Source organism: Homo sapiens, chromosome 5 (assembly GCF_000001405.40).
Source record: "Homo sapiens chromosome 5, GRCh38.p14 Primary Assembly".
Classification (NCBI taxonomy): Eukaryota; Metazoa; Chordata; class Mammalia; order Primates; family Hominidae; genus Homo; species Homo sapiens.
In genome coordinates, this window is record NC_000005.10 from 54,304,515 (window position 1) to 54,328,456 (window position 23,942).

The 23,942-nt window shown below is 40.8% G+C and overlaps 1 protein-coding gene and 1 long non-coding RNA gene across 11 annotated transcripts in view, besides 4 other annotated features; one reads left to right on the forward strand and one right to left on the reverse strand.

The window, feature by feature from the left end:
* The window catches only part of ARL15 (ARF like GTPase 15), a 426,632-nt gene extending 420,573 nt beyond the window's left edge, over positions 1-6,059 (reverse strand). For 6 of the 10 annotated variants that reach the window (NM_019087.3, XM_011543500.3, XM_017009598.2 and 3 more), the window contains exon 1: positions 5,918-6,059. In NM_019087.3, the coding sequence (NP_061960.1) occupies positions 5,918-5,965 (48 nt within the window). In that variant the 5' untranslated portion in view covers positions 5,966-6,059. Of the gene's footprint in view, positions 1-3,373; positions 3,433-5,780 lie in introns of all 10 variants that reach the window. The other 4 variants (XM_047417335.1, XM_011543499.3, XM_011543498.3 and 1 more) reach the window with 4 other exon arrangements.
* Positions 158-821: an enhancer, noted in NCBI's record as "OCT4-NANOG hESC enhancer chr5:53600502-53601165 (GRCh37/hg19 assembly coordinates)". NCBI's record gives its function as "activates a minimal SCP1, AML or CMV promoter by ChIP-STARR-seq in naive H9 embryonic stem cells {active_cell/tissue: H9 hESC(naive)}" and the evidence as "EXISTENCE:reporter gene assay evidence [ECO:0000049][PMID:30033119]".
* Positions 8,820-9,167: a transcriptional cis regulatory region, noted in NCBI's record as "candidate enhancer chr5.1314 targeted for multiplex CRISPR interference". NCBI's record gives its function as "positively regulates SNX18 gene expression with high confidence in K562 cells {active_cell/tissue: K562}" and the evidence as "EXISTENCE:mutant phenotype evidence [ECO:0000015][PMID:30612741]".
* LINC01033 (long intergenic non-protein coding RNA 1033) overlaps positions 16,430-23,942 on the forward strand; it is a 94,182-nt gene continuing 86,669 nt past the window's right edge. The window contains exon 1 of the long non-coding RNA NR_126379.1: positions 16,430-16,484. This is a non-coding gene — a long non-coding RNA (long intergenic non-protein coding RNA 1033). The remainder of the gene's footprint in view (positions 16,485-23,942) is intronic.
* Positions 21,257-21,401: an enhancer, noted in NCBI's record as "145 bp enhancer 36 fragment used in the MPRA reporter construct; PK_construct_4477". NCBI's record gives its function as "activates an SV40 promoter by MPRA in K562 cells {active_cell/tissue: K562}" and the evidence as "EXISTENCE:reporter gene assay evidence [ECO:0000049][PMID:23512712]".
* Positions 21,321-21,338: a transcriptional cis regulatory region, noted in NCBI's record as "GATA motif; enhancer activity is reduced when this motif is scrambled". NCBI's record gives its function as "necessary for full MPRA enhancer 36 activity {active_cell/tissue: K562}" and the evidence as "EXISTENCE:site-directed mutagenesis evidence [ECO:0005528][PMID:23512712]".

Sequence of the window (23,942 nt, forward strand, 5' to 3'; positions counted from 1 at the left end):
ATGTGTCCTCTCCTAGGGCTCATACTGTTAGACTGGAGCCACAGAAGTTTGGGAACCAGACTTAACACCTTTGTAGAAAAGTTCCTACCTAATGGTACGGATTTGCTCAAAACATTTTTGCTATATGAACTCCATATATGGTAGATCTGTTTATTGTGCTCAGATAATTTTTATCTTATAAATTATTAAGAAAGGAATATTTAATATGACTGCCTAATCCACTCGACATTTAGACTAAAAAGTGACCTACATTATCACTTTAAAGTTAGTCACAATAAATACAACTTACAATGTTCATAGATATTCAGGGTTAAAAACAACGAAACAATGTACTTTTTTTTTTATCAATAAAGAAGTTCAGTTCACAGATAACTGAACATAATATGAAATCACAAATGTACCTTCACTCCTCTTTTCAAGTAGGATCCTTTACAATTTCATAGTGCCTGTGGGCTCTACCCTTTGTAGCACATCATGGGTTTCTATTGTTGGTTAGTTAGCTGGTTTTTATCCTGCAAATGGTGACAGATTTGTGATGATCAACCCAATTCTCTCACCACATCTTCCCCACTGAGACATACATTTTTATGATGGCAGATACAGCCTATAACCAAGAAACTAAATAGGTCAAGTCCACCAGTCTATACAAAGAAATCTTATTAAACTAACCTATCAAATCTAATCTTATTAAATCCCAAACACTGGCAGGGCACGGTGGCTCACTCCTGTAATCCCAGCACTTTGGGAGGTCGAGGCAGGTGGATCACCTGAGGTCAGGAGTTTGAGACCAGCCTGGCCAACATGGTGAAACCCCGTCTCTACTAAACATACAAAAATTAGCTGGGCATGGTGGTGGGCACCTGTAATCCCAGCTACTTAGGAGGCTGAGACAGGAGAATCACCCCATTGCACTCCAGCCTGCATGACAAGAGCAAAACTCTGTCACAAAAAAAAAATAAATAAATAAAAAATCCCCAACACGGTACAGTAGTTTCCCCTCATCCATGGGGGATATATTCCAAGTCCCAGTGGATACCTAAAACCACAGATAGTACTGAGCTATCATAGAACTAACTAACATAGCACAGAGCACACTATATTTTTTCCTATACACACACACCTATGATAAAGTTTAATGTGTAAATTAGGCATAGTAAGTGATTAATAATAACTAATAATAAAAGTGAACAATGATAACAATATACAGTAATAAAAGTTATATGAATGTGGTCTCTCTCTCTCTTAAAATATCTTATTGTACTTTACTCACTTATTTTGAGACCTCGGTGGACCATGGTTAACTGAAACCTTGAAAAGTAAAACCGTGGATGGGAGGGTGGAGGCTACTATAAACAAATGCAATGAATATTAATTGACAATTAGCATCCAAGACTAATCAACCATTTTTACTTGTCACATTTTCAAGTCTAAGTTTATATTTTAGTTCACAATAAAACACACAAAATGAGAGAAATGTACTAGAAAGCAAAGAAGCACATCAGAAGCTACCCCCTCCCCTATGTGCCTTACTTAACCTGTCCTGCCACAGGTTCCTCTAGAGCCACACGACTGCCAGTCCTGCAGTCAAGGAGGATATTACAGCTGAGGGTTCATCCCGCATGACTTTCAGGGCCATGCAGAAAGTAAGGGCTCCATAAATATTTGTTGAATAGATAAATTATTCAAATGGGTTTTATTTTCGTAGCTTTTAAAAGATTCTTAAAAGAGTCTTGTGACTTCCTGCTTGTTGATTACAACTCCCAGTATTTCCATAAATTGAGACTAGTTTAAAAGGTATTTCAATACCACTAAGCAGTAACAGTCATTCTACAGGAGGTATAAAAGTAACATCAGCAACATAATCACAATACGTTAACTTTTTTTTTTTTTTTTTGTCTTGAGACGGAGTCTCACTCTGTCGCCCAGGCTGGAGTGCAGTTGTGCGATCTCACTGCAACCTCTGCCTCCTGGGTTCAAGCGATTCTCCTGCCTCAGCCTCCCAAGTAGCTGAGATTACAGGCATGCGCCACGACACCCAGCTAATTTTTCTATTTTAAGTGGAGATGGGGTTTCTCCATGTCAGCCAGGCTGGTCTCAAACTCCTGACCTCAAGTGATCCGCCTGTCTTGCCCTCCCAAAGTCCTGGGATTACGGGCGTGAGCCACCTCGCCCAGCCACACAATACGTTAACATTTTATATTTGAAAAGCAACGTACTGTTTACAAATGGCTTTCCCTCCACTATCTCATTTAATCATCATAGGTATTACACAGAGTACAACCAATTCTACCACTGTTGTTTTGATGGCGCAGAGGGAAAAAAGGTTAATTCCAGATCAATCATCACATGAGTCAAGACAGAAAATTTTGAACTGAAAGGAATCTAGAAGTTGATCTTGTCCAACCTCCCAGGAAAACTCGAGAAATGTGTTTTTCTCTTTCATTTTAACCTGACTATTTTCTCCTACCTTATCCAAAAAGCTCTGCACATTGTGTTACTAGTTCTACCTATGAGAAGAAAGAGTAAGATGCTGGTACTGCCTGTTGGGACAGCAGCTAAATGTTTACCCAGAGACTTGGCAGATGTAAACATGGCCTTTAAACCCCATCATGGAAAGGGGAAAAGTTGTGTGCCCTTCTAGGAAGATTCACTCATCAACTGGAAAACAGAGATTTTTATGTTTAAATTGCCACCCTGGCTAAAAGGATTATATCTTGATCATCTTCAAGTTAAGAGTAAAGGATACATTCTGCATTCCCCTGAACAAAACACCTAATCCAAACAGATTTTATCTTGTCTCAGTTTAAAAACTGGTGAAAAAAAGCAGAATTTTCCTTTCCATTTCATATTCATCTGATTCAACAAATAAAATATCGGGCCCTAACTATTAATACATGCCAGAAACCAAGTCAGGCACCGCACCAGGTGATACATCTAATTGATTAGGATTAGCAAATTTCTATTCTTTCTCTCGACTGAAATCAATAAAACCCTGTCTTAAATATTAAAGTACTATCCCTGTCCCTCACCTTGACTGTCACTTCTGAGAACATTTGTTTTAAGAAATCAACAGCGACCCGAAGATCAGTAGAGCTTCTTCATCTGTTTTAATATCTCAATCTTATTAAAAGGATTAATCCTGTTAAGACAAAATAGCACCTCCACCTTTCTCTCCCTTCTTCCTTTCCACTCTCCTCCAAATAAAAAGGTTAAGTGACGACATCCAGCCCAAAGAACAATGAACAATAGATACATACACACACACAGCTCTCTCTTCCAGTTTCCAACAGGAACAACACAAGAAAGTCAAATACTGATTAAAAAGAAATGACACACACCATCATTCTTGTCAGTGCATGGAAAGGGAACTTACTCTAATCCATTCAGCAAAATCTGGAGTCAAACTTGGAATGAAAGGAGCATTTTTTTTCCCTGCAAGGTAAGTAAAAGAACTCAGGAATTTTTTAAAAATAAAATAAGATACCAGATGCAAATAAATTGATTTCTATTCCTCAGAAATAGGGCTTTTAATAAACGCCACACAGAGTATGCATAAGCAAGCAAGTCAATCCGAAAGACAGGAAGAGAAAAATAATGTGTGGCACATCATTTTCTCTGAAAGTCGACAAGCAAAAGGTGAACACAAAAAGGCTACCTCGGGAGGGCTAGTTTTTTGTTTTGAGATGGTTTTTCTGTTTGTTTCCATCCAGTTTAATGCTAAAGAATTTTCTGAAATCTTTTCACAGGGGACACTTGGCACACTCACAAAAACTAAACTGTTTCCTTTAAGATTTCTTTTCTCACCTCCAAAGAGTAGCCACTGGCTTTTATGGGGTTGGTCACTGCACTTGTGAATTTTAGATGGATAAAGTGGCAAAATAATGATTTTTTTTAAATATAAAAGTAAAACTAAGATGTATGGCAAGTAAAGCTTTTTAAAAAGCCAAGTCAAATTTGAGGCCTGCTGATTTTGACACAAAGCTGTTAGTAAATTGGCAAAGAAATTAATCTGCTTTTAGGGTAAACTTGAGCCCAGGTAAAACAAAAAGGCCAAGTCAAATTTGTGACCTGTTGATTTTGACACAAAGCTGTTAGTAAATTGGCAAATAAATTAATCTGCTTTTAAGGTAACCTTGGGCCCACAAACATTCATCCACTCACCTTTAGACTATGCCTATCTAGAGGTTAGCCTGAGTAATTAACCAGAGTTATCAATTTTGTTTTCACTAAGCATTTTGATAGGTTTGGCACCTCAAAGACAGCTTTGTGATGCAATTTATAAATTTAAAACACATCCGGTAAATAAAGAAAATAATAAAATGTCAGAACCACCTGATTTTCTTTTTTAAGAACTATTTAAGTATTCAAAATTAGCTTTTAGTAGTACAGGCAATGTCACCCTTTCCTACTTGGTAATTATCCCAACAAACTTTCGCTTTAATTTAGGCAGACTGCAAGACAAAAACCATGTATTGTATTTTATAAGATAAATTACAAATTAAATCAGTTATTTAACTTAGAAAATAATCTTCTGGCAGCTCTCTTAACTTACAGGGCACCTTGTATTGTGAAGAATGTTCATAATCAGATAATCCCCGTAACCAGCTACAGTACTGGGTGAATAATATCCCTTTATCACAAAGATAAAGGAAGTTACTGCCATCAACAAATGAACAACAAAACAGAACTTGAATTCAGAATTTTAGATCCAGCTCCATTCACAAGGCTATGCATTAACTGCAGTCACCATCCTTTCCCACAAGACCATCAAGCTCTGAAGCATTAGGAGAAACATTTTCTTTATGTACACTAAAATAAGCCCAAATACACAGATAACAGCACAAAGCCGGTCCGGCGTTTCTTGGCCATCAAAGCATGCACAGACTTTCTCAGTACAGCCTTAAGTGTAATTCCTAGAAGGCACTGGCAAATCTCTGCCAGGCCAATCTGCAGTCGAAAACCGAGTGCATGTGTCCAACAAGATGACAGGAGGGTCAATGTTTCTAACCGTCTACTTCAACTCTGCATGGCAATAGCGGTTCTGCCCAACATGGTAAACACAATAATCGTATAGGATCGAACACAAGTCTCTGTAAATGAGGATCCCCTTAAACGCAAACAAGCAACTCTGGGGAAATATAATTTCTGGAACAAAACATGGTGCTCGCATAATTCCACAAAGACACATAGAAGTCCATTTTTAAAATGATGTTCGGTCCCAGCACTGTGCTGACACTTTTCCCACCTAAACTTCTCAGCACAAGCCTGGCCTAAACAGCCGGGTTCCAATCCGTGCACAGTGGAACCGCGGCACGCACCCAAGACCGGAATGGTGGGGCTATACCTGTCCCTACTCAGTCCTGTTCGTGCCAGCCTGCGAGGTAGTTTAGACCCGTCTGCTTTATGGTAATGTGCTTTTAAAACCCCGCCACGACCGAGGTCATAGCTTTAGAGATTTAATAACAATCAAATGACCAGGGCTGCTGGGCACTTAGTGAGCCATTCTGGTTATGGCTCTTTAATAGCACCTGGAGTTCTGCTCCAGGGAGAGAGGAAAACTCCTGCTCCCCCGGAAAGAAAGTCCTCTGCGGAGAGCGCAGAGGGAAGCCAGGAAGCCGATCGCGGGCAGGGGACGCGCCGCCGCGGCCGCCCCATCTCTCAAGCAGCCCCAGCGCGACCCTCGCCCTGCAGCCGTGCTGGCCCAGGCCGCACCTTTACCTGTCAGCTCCACCACCCACCCGCCCTGGAGGCTGCCCCTCCGAGTCCAGGGAAAGGCTTACCAGCCGGCTGCGGGAGAAAGAACCCCAGAGGCATCCTATCCCAAAGAAAGAAAGCAAAAAGGCTGCTCCTCAAGGCAGGGGGCCATCGGGCACGCCGAGATCCGAGAGGCGACATGCCACCCCTGCCCTGCACCTACCAGATAATCCATGTACAGAAACGCCTCAGTTATTCGGAGATCAGACATCCGGCAGCCTAAAGCATCCGGAACGGCTCCGAACCCGGAAAAAAAAAGCAGCGTCTCTGGCTGCGAGCGAGCAGCTCCTGAAAAAGCCAGCAACAGCGAAAATAGCCGAAAGCAGCCGACTAGCCGGAGATTACACAAGGGGCGCGGCGATTGGCCAGGCGGGCGGGCAGAAGGAAAGAAGCGTGCTCATTGGCTGCGGCGCCTATAAAAGGCAGGCCCCAGCTGGTGGCAGGAGAGAAACGCGGGAGTGGTGGGGGATGTGGGTTCCTGTGTGCTGAGCGGAGGAGCCGGGGTGGGGGCGGTGCAAGCGGAAGAAAGAGCCAAGAGAGCGGAAAATCGGCTGGTGCTGTCGCCGCCCGAGTTTTGTGTTTCCACAGCTTTCCAGTTGGGTACAACGGAGCCGAACTCCGTGTTCCCGGGCTGGAGAGCCTTGGTGTCCCCGCCAACCCCCAGTAGGAAGCGAGCGCTGTAACATGGGAGGCGTGGTCGCCACTGATCTTGTCTCCCCCCAGAGCCTTCCTAAAGGCTCTGCCGCCACGAGACTGCACCACCGGGAAAGAAGTGTGTGAAAGTGTACTCCGTAAACAGGCAATCCTGTACGCGACTTAGGGGCAGAAAGACCCTCCGCACTTTTATCATTTGAAAGTAAGGTGGACGATTCCAGCCTGGTGTCCCTGAGGGTACACACAGGCCCCCCGCGCAGCCAGAGGTGACTCAGGAACCCCCCTTCCAACCCCTGCGTAGAACGCCGAACAGTCTTCGGAGAATTCGCTTTCCTCCACGTGAAAAGGAAAAGAAAAACATTTGAGGAGTCGCAGTAGTCACTTGTACTCCCCAAACACACGGGAAGAAGTTGATCAGTTTGCATGCTTGGAGTCAAATTACGCTCAGCACAAATCCAACGCCCCTGAATTAAATGAGCAGTAGAAGCTCTCTGCAAAAAACACAACAGTATTTGTGACCCGGTATTATTTCAGGAGGTAAAAACATCTATAAGCAGATGCATTTGGGACGTATGCATTTCCTGGTAATGTCAATATCGCATTAAGCTAGTGGGTTTGGGCAGGGAAAGCCTGAATCGGACAAGAAGCTGGCTTTTTTTTTTTTTAGGCTATAAATAACCAGACCATGCCAGACACATGTTCTTAGGCTATGTTCTTAGGCTCAGGTGATTGGAGTGCCCCCCCCCCCATCCCCACCCTCAGGGCTTAGGGAGAATGGAAGATAAGGTGGATGCTGTCACCTGTATTAATAGTTAGGGCTTGCATACATACAGTAAAGTTTCAAGAGTGAAACTTCATCGACTGAACTCTTTATGAAGTGACTGCCTGACTCTACACGCGATGTTTTAGGAGTTGAATTTTTACTTTCCCCCTGACACCTTTCTTTTTTGTATCCTCAAGAAACAAATTTCCGTACCGTAAGTTTACCTGGGACTACCAAAACAGTTCTGTTAGATGACCGTGGAATTCACCCCAAATGTGCACATAACCAATAAGGGCGAGGCAGCCCCCTAGAGGGAGCTGTAGGTTGATGAGCCAAGTGATTTTAGGTATGCAGTCTAATTTCCAAACCTGTTTCCTCAGCTGCAAAACGAGAATTCCTACAGCCAGAAAGTTGTGAGGGTTTGGGCGGGGGGCGGGGTTGGGGAAGTTGTTTTTGTTTTTTTGAGACAGGGATTCTCTCTGTCGCCCAGGCTGGAGTGCAGTGGCGCGATCTCGGCTCGCTGCAACCTCCGCCTCGCCGGCTCAAGCATCCTCCCACCTCAGCCTGCAGAGTCGCTGGGACCACAGGTGTGCACGACTACGCTCGTCTAATTTTTTGTATTTTAAGGGTAAAGACAAGGTCTCACTATGTTGCCCAGGCCTGTTTCTAACTCCTGGACTCAAGCAATCCGCCCACCTCGGCCTCCCAAAGTGCTATTAGATCCAATTTTGATTTTCCTTGGCATTCTGTTAATTCAAACACATGTAGGTTTAGAAGAGATTTTCACCTAGATTTTGGAGGAGATGGACGTCCATAAACGTACACTCTTTAGCACAATTTGTTTGAAACTAATTTGGAAAACAAAATCTCTCAATGAGCAGAAATAGTCATGGAACATTTTTTGTTTGTTTTGCTTTTCTTCGTGAATAAGCATATTTAAAATAAGATAAAGGGCTTGAGTTAGCAAAGAGACACCTTATGGACCATTGTCTTAGTGATAAATGATGTGTGGGCTACTGCCCAGTCAGGCTTTCGAGAGGCCTATCAGTCTCTATGCAGAGGAGGATAGCCACTCAGAAGCAGGTGGCTTCTGCCTTTCCTTTAAAAGTTAAGCTTAGGGAAAGATAGTCCTGAACATGTCATTAGGGTCAGTATGGTTCTTGCTGCCTCTAAGAATTAGTATATGGGGCCAAAGCAGGGAGATGAAAGAATATGTTCAAGGAAAAGTTCCAAAGACTGCACCATAATATTCACTTTATTCCACACAATTTGCACATTCATTGTGACTGGCATCAATGAAAACCTTGTAGTCAGTGTAATGTATTAAAAAATCACATATTGCATTTTAGGAAAGAGTCCTTATAAAACAACAACAACAACCTGTAGATTTTGAACTCCATATGGAGCACATTTTTTCAATTAGATGTTTTCTGAGATGTCAGTGAGTCCGCCCCTACAGAGGAAAGAGGCTAACTTGACTGAATTGGTATGAACAGATAATACACTACCCACTACATGAAGCTGCAGTCATAGCTGATAGGGTTGGTAGCACCTATTGAGGTAATCACCTCAATACATGCTTTTTAAAAGAGTGTAGAGAAGTTAGAATGCATTTAATCAACCTACCATACTGTATGCCAAGTAACAGACTGCAATCCAGAACAAGACATGATCTCATTAACCTAGTTCTGCCCTTGCTGTCAGTGAAAAGAATGACCCTCTTCCAGATGCGGAAGAAACATGTAAACTCATGAGGCAATTGCATTAGTGCATAGGTTTTGAGGAAAGAGGCTGATACGGTTTGGCTGTGACCCCACCCAGATCTCATCTTGAATTCCCACGTGTTGTGGGAGGGACCCGGTGGGAGGAAGTTGAGTCAAGGGGGCGAGTCTTTCCCATGCTGTCCTCATGATAGTGGTAAGTCTCATGAGATCTGATGGTTTTATTAGGAGGAATTTCCCTGCACAAGCTCTCATTCTCTCTTGCCTGCCGCCATGTAAGACATGTCTTTGCTCCTGCTTCACCTTCTGCCATGATCATGAGGCATCCCCAGCCATGTGGAACTGTAAGTCCATTAAACCTCTTTCTTTTCTAAATTGCCCAGGTTCAGGTATGTCTTTATCAACAGCGTGAAAACAGACTAATACAGAGGCCATCACTGTTGCTTGTCAAAAGCAAAGAGAAATTATTTTGACAGTCCATACTCTAAAATTCCATAAAGGCTGCTGGCTAGCCAAATTTGGAGGAAAATTTTTTGTTAAACTGTCACTTGCAAGGAATGAAAACAGAAATGCATTTTTGCAACTTGGTCTCCCAACTTTCCAGAAAAATCAACATATTAGTGGTTATTTCCAGCTATTCTTTTGTTGTTTCCAAGGAGAATACTGCCTTCACTAGTTTTGTATCATGCATACACTATCTCACTGAAACTTTTCATAAATCTTTAATGGATACATAAAACTATTGTAAAAATGTACTACTGTGTTAACAAATCCTTTATTAGTTACTACTATTATAAATATTACAGTGAATGTTTGCTTATAAAACTATCCACATCTTATTATCCTAAGAATAATTTCTAGTAATAGAATTACTGGTACAAAGAGTATGAGCACTTCTTTTCTTTTTTTTTTTTTTTTTTTGAGATGGAGTCTCGCTCTGTTGCCAGGCTGGAGTGCAGTGGCACAATCTTGGCTCACTGCAACTTCCGCCTCCCGGGTTCAAGTGATTCTCCTCCCTCAGCCTCCTGAGTAGCTGGGACTACAGGCACACGTGACCACACCCAGCTAATTTTGTATCTTTTTTTAGTAGAGACGGGGTTTCACCATGTTGGCCAGGATGGTCTTGATCTCCTGACCTCGTGATCCGCCTGCCTCAGCCTCCCAAAGTGCTGGGATTACAGGCGTGAGCTATCACGCCCAGCTGAGCACTTTTAATACTCAGTTTTGACCTAGCTTATGTAGTCTTCTTCCTTCTACCCCCCAGCTCCAAAGTAGGGAATGATTATCTTGTCTCATCTTTGCCTTAATATTATTCCTTAATAGCTGAAAGATGGTATCTTTCATTATAATGACTCTTAAATCATGGACACTTCTTTTTCAGAAAAAGTGGTCAGCTCTGCAGAGGTCATCAGGCACTTTTTCTCACTTACCACATCCAATAACTCCTGTGACTTTAAAATTCTCTTCTGAGTCCTTTTTCCCTTTCTCTCCAGTGGATACCTTGACACCCACCTCTGATTTACCCCAGTCCTCTTCTCTGCTTCCTAAACCTAAATGAAGTATCACTGTGTCCCAGAAGATGAACTTCATCAGAACAGGGTGTCCCCACATGAAGCCGCTAACAGAGCTTGATTCATAAATGGAATCAAGCCAATGATTATTGAATGAGGTCAGAGGTTGGAATTAGAGTAGGGTTTTCTGCTCTTAGCATGGTGACCTACTTGCAACTCAAACTAGAGGAACCCCTCACTGAAATAGCTAAGTCTGAAGTTTTTAATCTAAAATATCTCCATGTCAGTTTAAACCTGTTTTCTCTCCTGCAGGTAGATCTTAAGGCCTTGTATGTCTATTTTTCAAAGATCAGTCCTGGCAGTCAAGATGAAGATTTGTAACTACTTAACTAGATGAGCTTGGACAGGTCACCTGTTCCTTCCAGGCTCCTGTTTACTCAGCCAGGGGATAGAGTTCAACTAATCCCTACCATGATTAAGGGTCACTCACCTTTTCCAAAAAGGGCTTTGCTGGGTCTTGGGGTTTTAAAGCAAGATAAGACATCCACTGAAAATGGTAAATATACGAGGGAAAGATAACTAGATCTCACAAGCAACCACCATTCAAGCACCAAATATCAAGAAGCTGTGTAAATCCCTCTCAATACCAACCCCAGCAAGTTCATTTAATCTCTTAGATACATTTCTACATTGCTGATTGTATTAATTTCCTATTCTGCAAGCCAGTTATGAGCCTTATGGAACTAAAATAAAGGTGTTGGAAGAGCTAAAAGAGTTAATAGATAGATGGAGGCCATTAGTGAATCACACTCATTGCAATTGGGCAGCAAGTCCTTTCTTGAATTGTGAATCTCCTTTTCTGCCACACACGTGTGTCTGAATCTCCCTCAACAGCCTGGCTTGACACCTTGCATGTAGCCCTGGCACCACTAAAGATTGATTGGTTGCTTAGAGCATAGACCTCACTATTTACAGCCAGCCTCATTGTGTCAATATGTCACTGCCTGAGCATACTTGTTAGTACTTCCTGACACAGTCAGCTCCAAGTGAAGGAGAAAAATCAACAAATCCATTAGGCCTCATGATCACCATGCTGAAATCTCACAGCAAAAATCACAGATAAAATACCCTTCCCAAGATCACACATTAAGTAACAGAGCTAAGGACTTTCCTTCCATAACCCTGGAATATCTATTTCTTCCCTATACTACTATGGAAGTGACAAGATCTTGGGATCAGTGTGACAAGAAAATAAAGCAGGCCTAGAGTCTACCACGGAGAAACTTCCGCTTATTAGAAATAACAGGACAAAGAAAGGCGAATAGACAAAGCCCTTCCCGATACAAATGTGCACACAGTCAACCTGGTGCCAGAGGAGTTACTAAAGTGTTTAAGGGATGAGAACTCAGTGAGGGTTTGCCAAAGTTTCTGGAGTTCTAATAGAACTCTCCAAGAAAGAAAAAATTTATCTTGGAGGATTTGTGAGGGGAACTTTCCAGATGGGAAAACAGCATATAAAGAATCAATAGCAACAAATTGGGGATGAGGCATTACATACTTAAAAGAAGATGAGTGTTTGAGCCCAAGGTATAGGAGGTATAGACAGTTTAGTTTGGGGAAGTCTAACTGGTGCAAATCAGGGTTCAGCTAGGAGCTTCTCTGCAGATTATTGCTTCCCAACTCCCCATGTGGTGTTGGTGGAAGTTGATTTGCAGCTCCATCCAGTGTAATTGCTCCCTCATTCTGGTCCCTAAGACTGGCATAAAGATGTGCCAACTACAGAGGGAAGCAAATCCCAAAAAAGTGTTTGGGCACTTGCTTTCTTGCCTGCTTCTTATGAGATCATCACCTATTGGGATAATATAGAAACTATTCAAATTGCTTTCTTGTAGGTATTCCACTGAAAGTTGGAAACATCTTGAATGCCCGTGATTTATAATTTTGATCTCTTCTTTCAAGGCTTACATATAAGGAAGCCTTAATCCAAGCTGGCAATTGATTCAAGGCAGCTTGCAAGGAAACGAGAAACTCAGAAACAAGAAACTATAAAATAAAGCCAATGAAAAAAGTGGCTATCATATACCATCTAGATAATAATGCTTCCTATCTCATCCAGACTTGAGATTCTGACTCTATGCTGTTTAAATTGAGAAAGACAGGCATGTAGGTACTCTGGGCAGGCTAATATGGATTCATGCATTCTACATACCTATTTAACACCTACTATATATTAGGGATGCTAGAGAAATATTATCCCTGCTCACATAAAGCTTAGTCTCTAGTGATTGGAGACAGGAAAGATATCAACTAGTGATAAGTGCTATACAGAATTAAAGAGATGTGCTGGCGAGTAACAGGGAAGCATACTCTAGACAGGTAGTCGTGGATGGCATCTCTGGGTTGTGCTAAGTGATACAGTCCAATAAAACTTTCTGTAATGATGGAAATGGCCTATACTTGTACTGCCCAGTATGGTAGCCATTAGCTACACATGGCTATTGAGAACTAGAAATGCAGGTAGTGGATACTGTATTGAACAATGAAGGTATGCAGTAAAAATATGAATGGAGGTCTTCCACTTAAACATGACATATTAAATATACTTGCTTATCTCCCCCACCCTCACCCCCACAGGCCAGTAAAGGAATAAAAAAGATCCACCAAGACAGAGAATTAAAGGAGAGACTCCAGCATATAAGAGGTCAACCATTTAGGAAAACAGAAAGTGGATACAGAAGTGGCAACTGACGTAGCGGAACAGAGAAAGCTGAAGGCTAAGTTCAAGAGGCGGGGGAAGCCAGCAAGAAACAAGCTGATTCCTGTTGCAGAACTCTCATCAGCTCAGCAATAAGCACCACCTGGTTCTCTGAGGTGGGAAATTAAATAAACAGCTATTTAAAAGCCATCATGTGGAAGCACCGTGCCAGACAAGTTTACCAAGTTCTACCAAACATTCCCTAAACAAAATGTCCCAACTTGAAACTATTCCAGGGTAGAGAAGGAGGGAGTGCTTGCCAGGTCATCTCAAACAACTATAATAATCTTGATACCTGATCAAGGACATCAATAATTATATATCAGTCTCACTCACAAACACAGATGGAAAAATATTGCAAAACATCCAAGAAAAGTAGAAAAAAAAAAAAAACCACATTGTGACTAAGCCAGGCTTATCCTAGGAATGCCAGATGTTCTTAACATTGGAAAATCAGTTAACTCTCCACATTATCAGATTAAGGAAGAAAAATCAGGATCACCTCAACATATACAAAAAAGAAACCATTAGAAATTAAATATCTATTGGTATTTGTTTTTTAGAGCTGCCGTAACAAAATACCATCCACTGGGTGGTTTAAACAACAGAAATTTATTTTCTCACAGTTCTGGAGGCTAGAAGTCCGAGATCAAGGTTTCATCAGGTTTGGTTTCTCCTGAAGCCTCTCTCCTTGGCTTGCAGATGGGCGCCTCCTCGCTCTGTCTTTTCTCTGTAGTTGTGTACCCCTGGTGTCTCTCTGTATGTCCAAATTGCCTCTTCTTAGGACCCTAGGATTATTGGATTAGGGCCTACTCTAACAGCCTCATTTTAACTACCTCTTTAAAGGATCTGTCTCCAAATTTGGTCACATTCTAAGGTACTGGATGTTAAGGCTTCAACATATAAATTTGGGGGAGACATTATTCAGTCCATAACACCATTCATGGTTGGCAATCTAAGAGTAAAAGGGAATTTATTCCGATTGATGAAGGGTATCTACAAAAAACTTAAAGCAAACATATTCATTTGTGAAACTTTAAGTGTGCTTTAAGGTCAGAAACAAGACAACGGTGTCACCTATCACAGCTTCTATTCTACATTATACTAGAGAACCCGGACAGCATAACCAGAGAAAAAATATAAAGAATGGAGAGAAAGAAACAATTCATCGGCAGATTGTGGTTGTGTATGTAAAACACAAATCTGCCTATCAATTATTAAAGTTAAAATTAAATCTGTTACTCCTTAAAAATCAATATAAAATGAATTGTATTTCTAGTTACTTAGCAACAAAGTTAGGAAATGTGTTTTTGAATATGTTTTTTTAAATGACCTTTAAAGTAGAAACTTTAAAAGCACCTAAGAATAATTGTTATAACTTTAAGATTTTGAGAGAAGTTAAAAACCTAGAAAAATACAGAGATATGATGTTCATGGATGGAAAGACTGTAGAGATGTGAATTCTCCCCAACTTAACTTATAGATTTAAAACAAACAATAACGTTTGAAATCACAGAGCACACTGTATAGAAACATTTCTTAACTGTTCTTAATTTGAGGGGAGTGCCCTCCTTTTTGTGAGTGAAGTGCCAGTCTTCTGCATATTTCTGTTGGCATTTACCATACTGTTTTGTGTATAGTGGTTAAGAGCACAGATGCCAGTCTGCCTGGGCTTGAATCTTGGCTTTCCCTCTTTCTAGTTCTGTGACCTTAGGCATGCTACTTAACATCTCAGTAACTTATTTACCCCATTTTATAGGTAGGAAACAAATAGCTACATCATCAACCTTCTGGATTATTGAGATTAATAGTTAATGTCGTACATTAGAACAGTGCTGGGCACATAGTAAGCATTATGTAAGTGTTGGCTGCTGCTGCTGCTGCTGTTTTCATTCTCTCTCCCACTAGTCGGAGTTCCTTGAAGGAAGGAAACTGTCTCATTGGATTGTGCACCTTTGGAGCCTACTTCAGTGTCTGTTAAATAACACAAAATACATTGTCAGTGGGGGCTGGGGATGAGCCACTGTCCTGAAGTGTCATATTTAAAGAAGCCTGATTCAGTGGCATAAAGTATTTGAAAAGGGAGTCCATTTTCTACTTATTTTGAATACTAAATGTCCAAAGCATGATCCATAACACTTGTAAAAGTACCCATATAATTATTTATCCTTCACTTCTTCGCTGTTTAGAAGCCTTTTTTCACCAAATGCCTGAGATTCTCCCAACTTATTATCATGGTACTCAAGGTACAAGGGTTGAATGGACCTGATTCCTCAGTTCACGGTACCCTGTATTATCATCATTGGTCCACAACAGCGTTCCTCTCTCTATTTAATTATTTCTTTTAATCCCTCTTAACTAATTCCTGTTCCTTCCTCTAACAGGAAATCATCCCAATATGCCTGATGTGCTTTTCCTACTTTGCTACCTGTCAACGTTGTCCATGATGTCCCTGGTTGAACAAAAATCCTTGGATTTGATGTAATCTCTTCCACCAACTTTAAACCTAAGGGCTGGTGCTGCTGAAGTTAAAAAAGTCCTTTCCTACCACAAAATCAAGAAGCCACAGCTTCAGTAAACTTTATAGCATTCCCTTTCATGTTTGGGTCTTTTACCCATTGTTAGTCTATCTTTTGTATGTGGGGTTAAATTGAGATTATGTCCATCTGTTTAACCAGGTTTCCAAAAACATCTGCTAAACAATTCATTCTTTTCTCCAGTGAGGTGGAGCCAACCCTTAACCTACATAAAATGCCTTCTATACATGACTCTGCCTCTGAGCTCTCCTCTGTTTTATTGATCTGTTTATTCTGTGACAATACGGAACACATCAGTCTGTTTTTTTCTTTTCTCTCTAACCTGACCACAATTCCTTTTATGTATATTGGCTTCATTGTCAATACTGCAAGAAATAATTTTTGGAAGCAAAAGGCAAAGCATTGAGTTTCTAAGTTCAGGGTTCTCTTTGGCAGGAGACTGGAGGAGTCTGTGCGCACCCACACCAGTAACTGTGTTCCTTCCTGAATGCATTAATCGTGGCATACTACTGTTCTCCTTTTCTGCTCATTCCTTCAAATGTGCCTTTCCATTCAGTACTAGTCTGCAAAGCCTATAATGAAACAAAGGAGGAAATCCTTGTGATTTAATTTTGCTTTCAAAATAAATTATTTTAAAGTTTAATACTCCAGAAGCAGTTTAATTAATTAATTAATTAATTTCATTTTTTTATTTTTTGACACAGGGTCTCACTTCACCCAGGCTGGAATGCAGTGGTGTGATCACAGCTCACTATAGTCTCGATCTCCTGGGCCTCCCACATCAGCCTTGTAAGTAGCTGGGACCACATAATGTTTAAATTTTTTGTTAATACAGGATCTCACTATGTTGCCTAGGCTAGTCTCAAACTCCTGGCCTCAAGCGATCTTCCTGCCTCTGCTTCCCAAAGTGCTGGGATTATAGGCATGAGCCACCGTGCCTGGCCCAGAGACAGTTTACTTTTAAATCAATTGCTTAAACCTGACGTTACTCTTCTTAGAAAGAAAAGAGGGCATTTAAGAAAAAAAAAATTGCATAAGAATTAACTATTATCTTAATAATTAATTAACTAATGGGTTCATGAAAGACACTAACACATTCATGAGAGCCAAGCTTTTCCAATGCTTTCCCTGTCTCCTTGCCATGACCTTGAAGTCTTTGCCTGCATCTTGTGTTTAATGCCATGCCATGTAGACTGATTCATTGTAATGCTTTGTCCTTGAGAAGCTTTTCTTCAAATAGGAATCTCTAACATAATTGTGGTTTTTTATGTACCTGAGTAGTGTTGAATTCTCTGGGCAAATGAGAGCTAGAGAAGACAGTACTGTATGCTTGCTGCCAAAGTACATCAGTGAATGGACGTGTTCTGGACGTGCTTATTCCACCAAGGCCTCTCTTTATTCCCTTTGTGTGTGTGTATGTTCTGGTACACGTTATGGCTGACTGATGGTGTGCCTGTGGTACTATTAGACCTGCTGGAAGACATCAAGGAAGAACAGCATGCTAGATATTATACCATATCTTCCTACTTCTCAGGCTGCCTCCAAGGTAATAGTTCAGAGAACAGAAGCAATTTGGAATTGGTAGAAATCATTTTGGCATTACAAAGGGCATCATAATGTTACAGACTAAGAGGTTTGGCTAGTTTTCTTAATAGGAAATGAAAGAAGCAATGGACCAAGGCATGTGACTTCATGAGATTTCAAATGGTCTAAAGAGTAATGGCTAACTTACCACACCATAATCACATGCGGTGGCACAGCTATTTCATATAATTCTGATCCAGTTAGCTCAAGGGTTAAGATCAAGCTTTGTCAGAAGACAGAGCTAAATTTCAATCCCAGGTGCTTTATTAGCTGTGTGACCTTAAGAAGGATACTTAACCTCTGAAACTCAGTTATCTCATCTTTAAAATGGAAATTAAAAACAATATAGGTAATTTCTTCAAGGTTGTTGTAAGGATTAAAAACAAATATGGCCTGGTGAGGTGGCTCATGCCTGTAATCCCAACACTCTGGGAGGCCGAGGTGGGTGGATCACTTGAGGTCAGGAGTTCAAGACCAGCCTGGCCAACATGGTGAAACTCCATCTGTACTAAAAATGCAAAATTAGCTGGGCATGGTGGCTCACTTGTAATCCCAGTTACTTGGAAAGCTGAGGCAGGAGAATCGCTTGAACCTGGGAGGCAGAGGTTGCAGTGAACCAAGATTGCACCACTGCACTCCAGCCTGGGTGACAGAGCGAGACTCCATCTTAAAAAAAATAAATAAATAAAATACTTTTTAAAAAATAATAAAACAAAAACAAATATACTGAACACTGAAGTGCTGGCTATCCTATGTACTGAAAGCCTTGTTGGAGGAATTGTGTTTTTATAGACAGTGCCTTTGACTTAGTCTGGAGAAGTAGAAGAATCCTGCTTCCACCATTGACTTTTAAGGATCTCAGGAAAATTATTCCACTTTGGAGTTACAGTATCATCTTTAAAATGTTGATGAAATAAAGCAAAGTAAGCAAAAGGGAAAATTAAAGGGCAGCAGAGAGATGATGGCTTTGTTGATTCTTCTCTGCAGCATAACTCAGAATCAGAAGAAATGGTAAGATGGGCAATCCAGGAATAGTAAGCTGGCTTTGTGTGCCACTAAGCTCTATATTTTGTATTACCTATATGGAAGCCATAAGATGCATCCGTAGGAGACCCTCTGCTGCAACTAAAGTGAGTGATCAATCATTAAATTTCTCAAACGTTTCAACAGGCTGCTTGGTTCATTTGCCCACTTCCATTGATATAAACCATGCCTGCCCTCCAGGATGGTTGTATGGTAGCATTGTAATGTACAAGCTTTAGTTGTATGTTACGTAGTGGACACAACACTATGTCTCCATGTGACAGATGGCAGTGCACATAAATGGAGAATCTCTGCACTTCTCTTTGGTAGCAGAAATATCTATAGAGATCGTACAACTAGGTAGAGCTCTCAGTTCCTATAAGTAAAATAACAGATAAATTATTATATAAAATAGCTGTGTTGGAAGAAATACTTTGAATCTCAAACTCCTAATCACTTATATTCATAAATGTTCTCCATTCAACATATTACTTTGATAATGTCTAGACTACTAAACTAAAAGTTCCAGACCACATACAAAGTACAAAGTATCCAGATGAAAGTGATGCTTTGACTGAATTACCAAGGAAAAATATCAGCTTTTGTCTTATGCCAGTAATCCTCACTGGTCCTCAACTTTTAGGATATATTTAGAAGGAGAAAAATAAAAATAAAAAATGTTGCCTGGTCCATACTAGTACAGAATGTTATTTACTAATATTAAGTGGGAATTCAGTTTACACCCTTTAAAAAGTATTATATCTCAGATGCCAAACTCTTCAGTAAGAAGGCCGGAAGCTCAGATAACTCAGCCATGTCATAGCAAGATTAACAATTTTGTTTTGTCAGAGAATAAACAATCAGTTTTTACCACAAAGGGACACTTCAATGAGTTATTTATGGTAAGAAAAGGAAATTATAGCAATATTAAGACCATGTGCAGCTCCTATTCAAAATTAAGAAACTCACTATTGCATTGTTTATCTCAGCCTCAACATTCTTATGAGAAGTAATTAACAGTCGTTAGAGGTGTGGTTATTATGCCTGGTTAGGGAAGCAGTGGGGCTCTATTTGCTCAAACCTCTCAGGAAAAGGCTACAATTACTGTGTGGATACAGGAATATCACAGTTATGAGTGGTATTGTTCATAGGGCATTTCACAAGACAAAGCAATAATAAAATACTTAGTTCTTAGGATATCAAAGGTTATTTTGTGAAAATGATTTGACATACCACAATCCTAAAACTTGACAAACTACTCTCAAAATGTTTTAAGAATTATGTGAACCCAGAAACAAATGTGAAAACTGTTTTCACACAGGAAAGCCTCCACTGAGGATTATGAATCTTATGAAAGACAAATGCCCTATTTTGAGTACATGGTGATATAGTTGGTCACCTTCAGGTATGCTTATTTATGTTTTGCAGGATTGCAGTAATGGTTAAATAGTAGACCAAATTAGCATGTCTGGGTCTCCTCAAGTCTTATGTTTCCTTCAGTGGTCCCATATGAGTTACTAAAATTTCCAGTTTTATGTAGAATGCAGCATAGGTTGACCATAAACACAACTTTGTATCATTGTCCAAAGTTGTAAAACAGAGATTGTCACTGCAGGGTCATGCAACAGAAAGGGAGGAAATGCTGTTTTGTACCATATCAAAAATGATAAGCTACATTTTCCGAAGGACTAAAATATCCCTCTTATTGAGAACAGAAAGAAGGGCAAGAATGACTTGTTTAAAACCTGCAAGTTGATAAGGAGCGATGTCCCAGCCTTTACAACATCATGGATGTAAACCTTGAGAAAGGAACAGGAAGCTTGTTTACAAATGAACAAATTCCTGCTTTTGTAAGAGAAAATTCAAGCTGTGGCACATTTTTTAAATTAATAGATGTTTTTAATAAATTGGTACCTAGGAGGGATTCATCATGTTCACTGTGCTTGACAAGTACAAAATTAAGCGAGTTAAATCAGCTCCAAAGAAAAAAAGGCTGTGTAGGCAACCCATCAAATGACTGAAAGCTGGGGTAGTCCCTTCAGTGGGCGAACTGCTTATGCTACCTGAATAGACTTTGCTCAGAAAAGACTTCTATTGAAAGAACCACAGGTGTGAAGTTAATATGCGTTTGTAACAGTTTTCAATCAAATGCCTCATCAAATAGGGTAGTTTAACACTTGACGCATAAATTTGCATCAGAATCATAGCATCAACTAACTGGGAGAAAATGGCAGTTAACTGTGAAGCTGTCCTGTGTAATAGGTGCTCTGCAATGCAATAGGCTCACAAAAATCCTGCCCCCGTTCCTAGTGGGATGCAGGATTACATGGCAATTAACAATGTGAATTCTGGAGATGAATTCCACGCAAGTTCCAACTCACATCCCACCTTTTATTTGGGAAAGTTATTTAAATTTTCGATGCCTGAATTTCCTTACCTGGAAAGTGCTGATAATAGAAACCAACTCCACACAAATTGTTTGGATTAAACTATTTAATACATGCAAAGCTATAAACCACTTAGAATGGCACCTGGCATATAGTAAGCCCTCAAAATATTTTTTTTCTTACCCATGATTGTCAAGGATTACCTGGATCCTAGCAGAAGGGAAATTAAGGGCTAGATTGTGCAAGAAAAGTACTACTGGGGCCTATAATTCAAACCCTGGAAAAGAGGTAGGACATAGAAGGACATGAGATAAAGAACGTGGTTTATTTAGGGGAGGGGATGGTAAATTCTAAGGGACTGAAAAAGGCAGAATTAAGCATGATCTTTTATTAAACAGCCTGACTGGAGTGGCAAAATCAGGTTGTGAGATGTGTCCGGTTGATGGAGGGCTTGAATGTTATGGTTGAGGAGATCAGGCTCTGACAGGAAGCCACTATAGTCTCTCCAGGTAATGTTCTAAAAATAGTACTAATTCCTAGAAAACAAGATAGAATGTAGGGGAAGAGCCTAGAAGCAGATATTTCAGTTAAAAGGCATTGAGGCTTATCTAAGAATGCACAGGGTGAGGTTCTGGACCAGGGTGATAAGCATGACTGGAGGAGGAAAGCAACTGCCAAAGAAAAAATAGGAAGCCTTGAAATAATTAGATACGGGGATCAAAAGAGAGAGGAGGCAAAGATGTCTCTAGGATCTTGAGGTTGCCTCTACTGGCTAACATTTTACTTAAATGAGATAAGGCAGTAGTTGTTAGACAGTAGAAAATGAAGGGACTTTAGGAGCTGGCCTCACCCTTTGTATTTGAAGGTTTCCAAACCATCATTTGTGAAAGCGAGAGTGAGAAAGAAGGGGTCAAGACTCCTGAGTATTACAAGGGCATTTCCTGGGTAGCAGAGCTCCACCTAGTACAGCTGTTTGTGATTAGAACCACCTGAAGGATTAACAGCTCAAAAGGACTGACACTAAAGCAGAACAAGAGCTGCAAATAAGCCTTCTGGGGTCAGAATATAAAACGTTGAAGTCGTTTAACAGCTCTTTCATTAGTGTGGATTTTGTTGCCTATTTTACCTTAATGATTGGATTGAGTATCATGTTATATAATATTTCACAAGCAGTAATTCAATGTTCAAGTACTTTGAAGTATTTAGAAGTACTGCCTATTCTCCTCAATACTGGAAAGATCCTCATAGATTAGGAAAAGCCCGAACTAAGCAACCTAAATTCTCTTCCCACTAACCTGCTTAACTGTTCTAGGTTCCAATTTATTTAAAGAAGTGAGAGTTGGATGTTTTACCAATGTGGGATTTTCAGCACCTTGTCTTCCTTGGCTGAGGGGAGCCTCTGAAGGGATACTTGTTATTGGTCCTGCAAATGAACTGCTCCAGCTAGGTACAGGCTAAAAAAATGATTTACTCTCCTATGTTCTCCCTCTGATTCCCATGGCACAGTAGGAATTGCTCTAGGTCCCTTGTTCCTGATGAGCCCTAAATGCCTTTTGTCCCACATGTTGCTGACATTCTCAGTTTGTTCTCTTCCACACTCCGTTTCTCCATTCTCTGACCCACCCTACTAACCGCATTCCCCAGGCTCCCTTGCCAATGGGAAACATCAGCTGGAGACGAGAAGGTGGGAGTTGAAGAGGGGCTGGAGTATTCACGCCTGGCACACCTGTCCTGCTATGGCATAGTGTGGCAATAGCCGCATCCCTCTACATCCACAGCCCTTGCTGGCGGCCCCTTTCATGGCTCTAGCTCTCAGTAGACTGTGGTAACATTGGTTCTGTCCTTCGTGTCTTCATGCATGGAGGTGATAAGGGCTCCCTCTGGGGCTAGTTCTTGGTGCTTCACCATCCCTTGTTGATTCCCAGACCCCTGTTCACACCAATGTAAATAGTCCCTTTATTAAATTCTCTTCCAAAACCCCAGCTAATGGTCTTCTCTTTCCTACCAAAACCCATTCTTTGAGGAGTGTACAGTGATGAAGGCAAGCTGGTATAATCAGATGTCCCACATGAACATATAACATCATGGAGCTTTATTTTACATGGGTACATTTTTTTTCCTAAGGGTTTAGGTATGTAACTTTATGCCTGAAACTTTTATTAAGAAGGAATATTTTTAAATGGTATGAGACATCATAAAACAACTTAGTTTTTGAAGGGAAGCTATAAGTCAAATTCATTTTTATTTTAAGAATTTGCAAATTATAGACTTGAATAAGCGTATCAAACATTCCTAAACAGGCTAAACACTGTTACAACTATATAGAAAAAGGGATTTATTATAGGGCTAAGACCTTACACAGTTTTACCAATGGAAGGGACTATGCAAGGCTGCTGTCTCTGCATTAGGTGTTGAGCCAGAAGTTGTTCTAAGTCAGCCAGACCAAGTGGGAAGAAAAGTAAAGATGAACTTAAAACTCCTGAGAATGAGCTGGAACTGTGAGGATGAACTGGAATCCACATCAGTCTCAGACTGTCTCTACCTTTGATGCTGCAGGTCACTTGCAGAAGAAGTTGGCACCTTTTGCCATAGAATAGCCCATGCTTTTGGCCTAGGATTAGGTGAAGCTGAAGGAATTCTGGTACCAGAAGTGTGGGCCCAAGTGCTGCCTTATGTAGACAACGTGAGCAGCTTGTCACCACAGTGTGTACAGGATGCCTGGCATCCTACATTGACTTTCTTTTTCTTTTTCTTTTTTGAGACAGAGTCTCACTCTGTTGCCCAGGCTGGAGTGCAATGGCACAATCTTGGCTCACTGCAACCTCCACCTCCCGGGTTCAAGCGATTCTCCTGCCTCAGCCTCCCGAGTAAATGGGATTACAGGCACCCGCCATCATGCCCGGCTAATTTTTGTATTTTTGTAGAGATGGGGTTTCACCATGTTGGCCAGGCTGGTCTGGAACACCTGACCTCGGATGATCCACTCACCTCGGCCTCCCAAAGTGCTGGATTACAGGCATGAGCCACCGCGTCTGGCCTCCTACATTGACTTTCACAGTATAAAACAATAGGGCTGCAACCCCCCTTCTAATTTATAAACCTTCTACATATTTCTCCTATGGTCACTGCTAACTCAGAAGCATAAAGATATGGGAATTCTGGAAAACATTTTTCTAGGACAGCAAATTTGTTCATTCTTCTTTTAGCTGAGTCGTACTCCCCATTGATATCCTGTAACTTATACTGAGATATA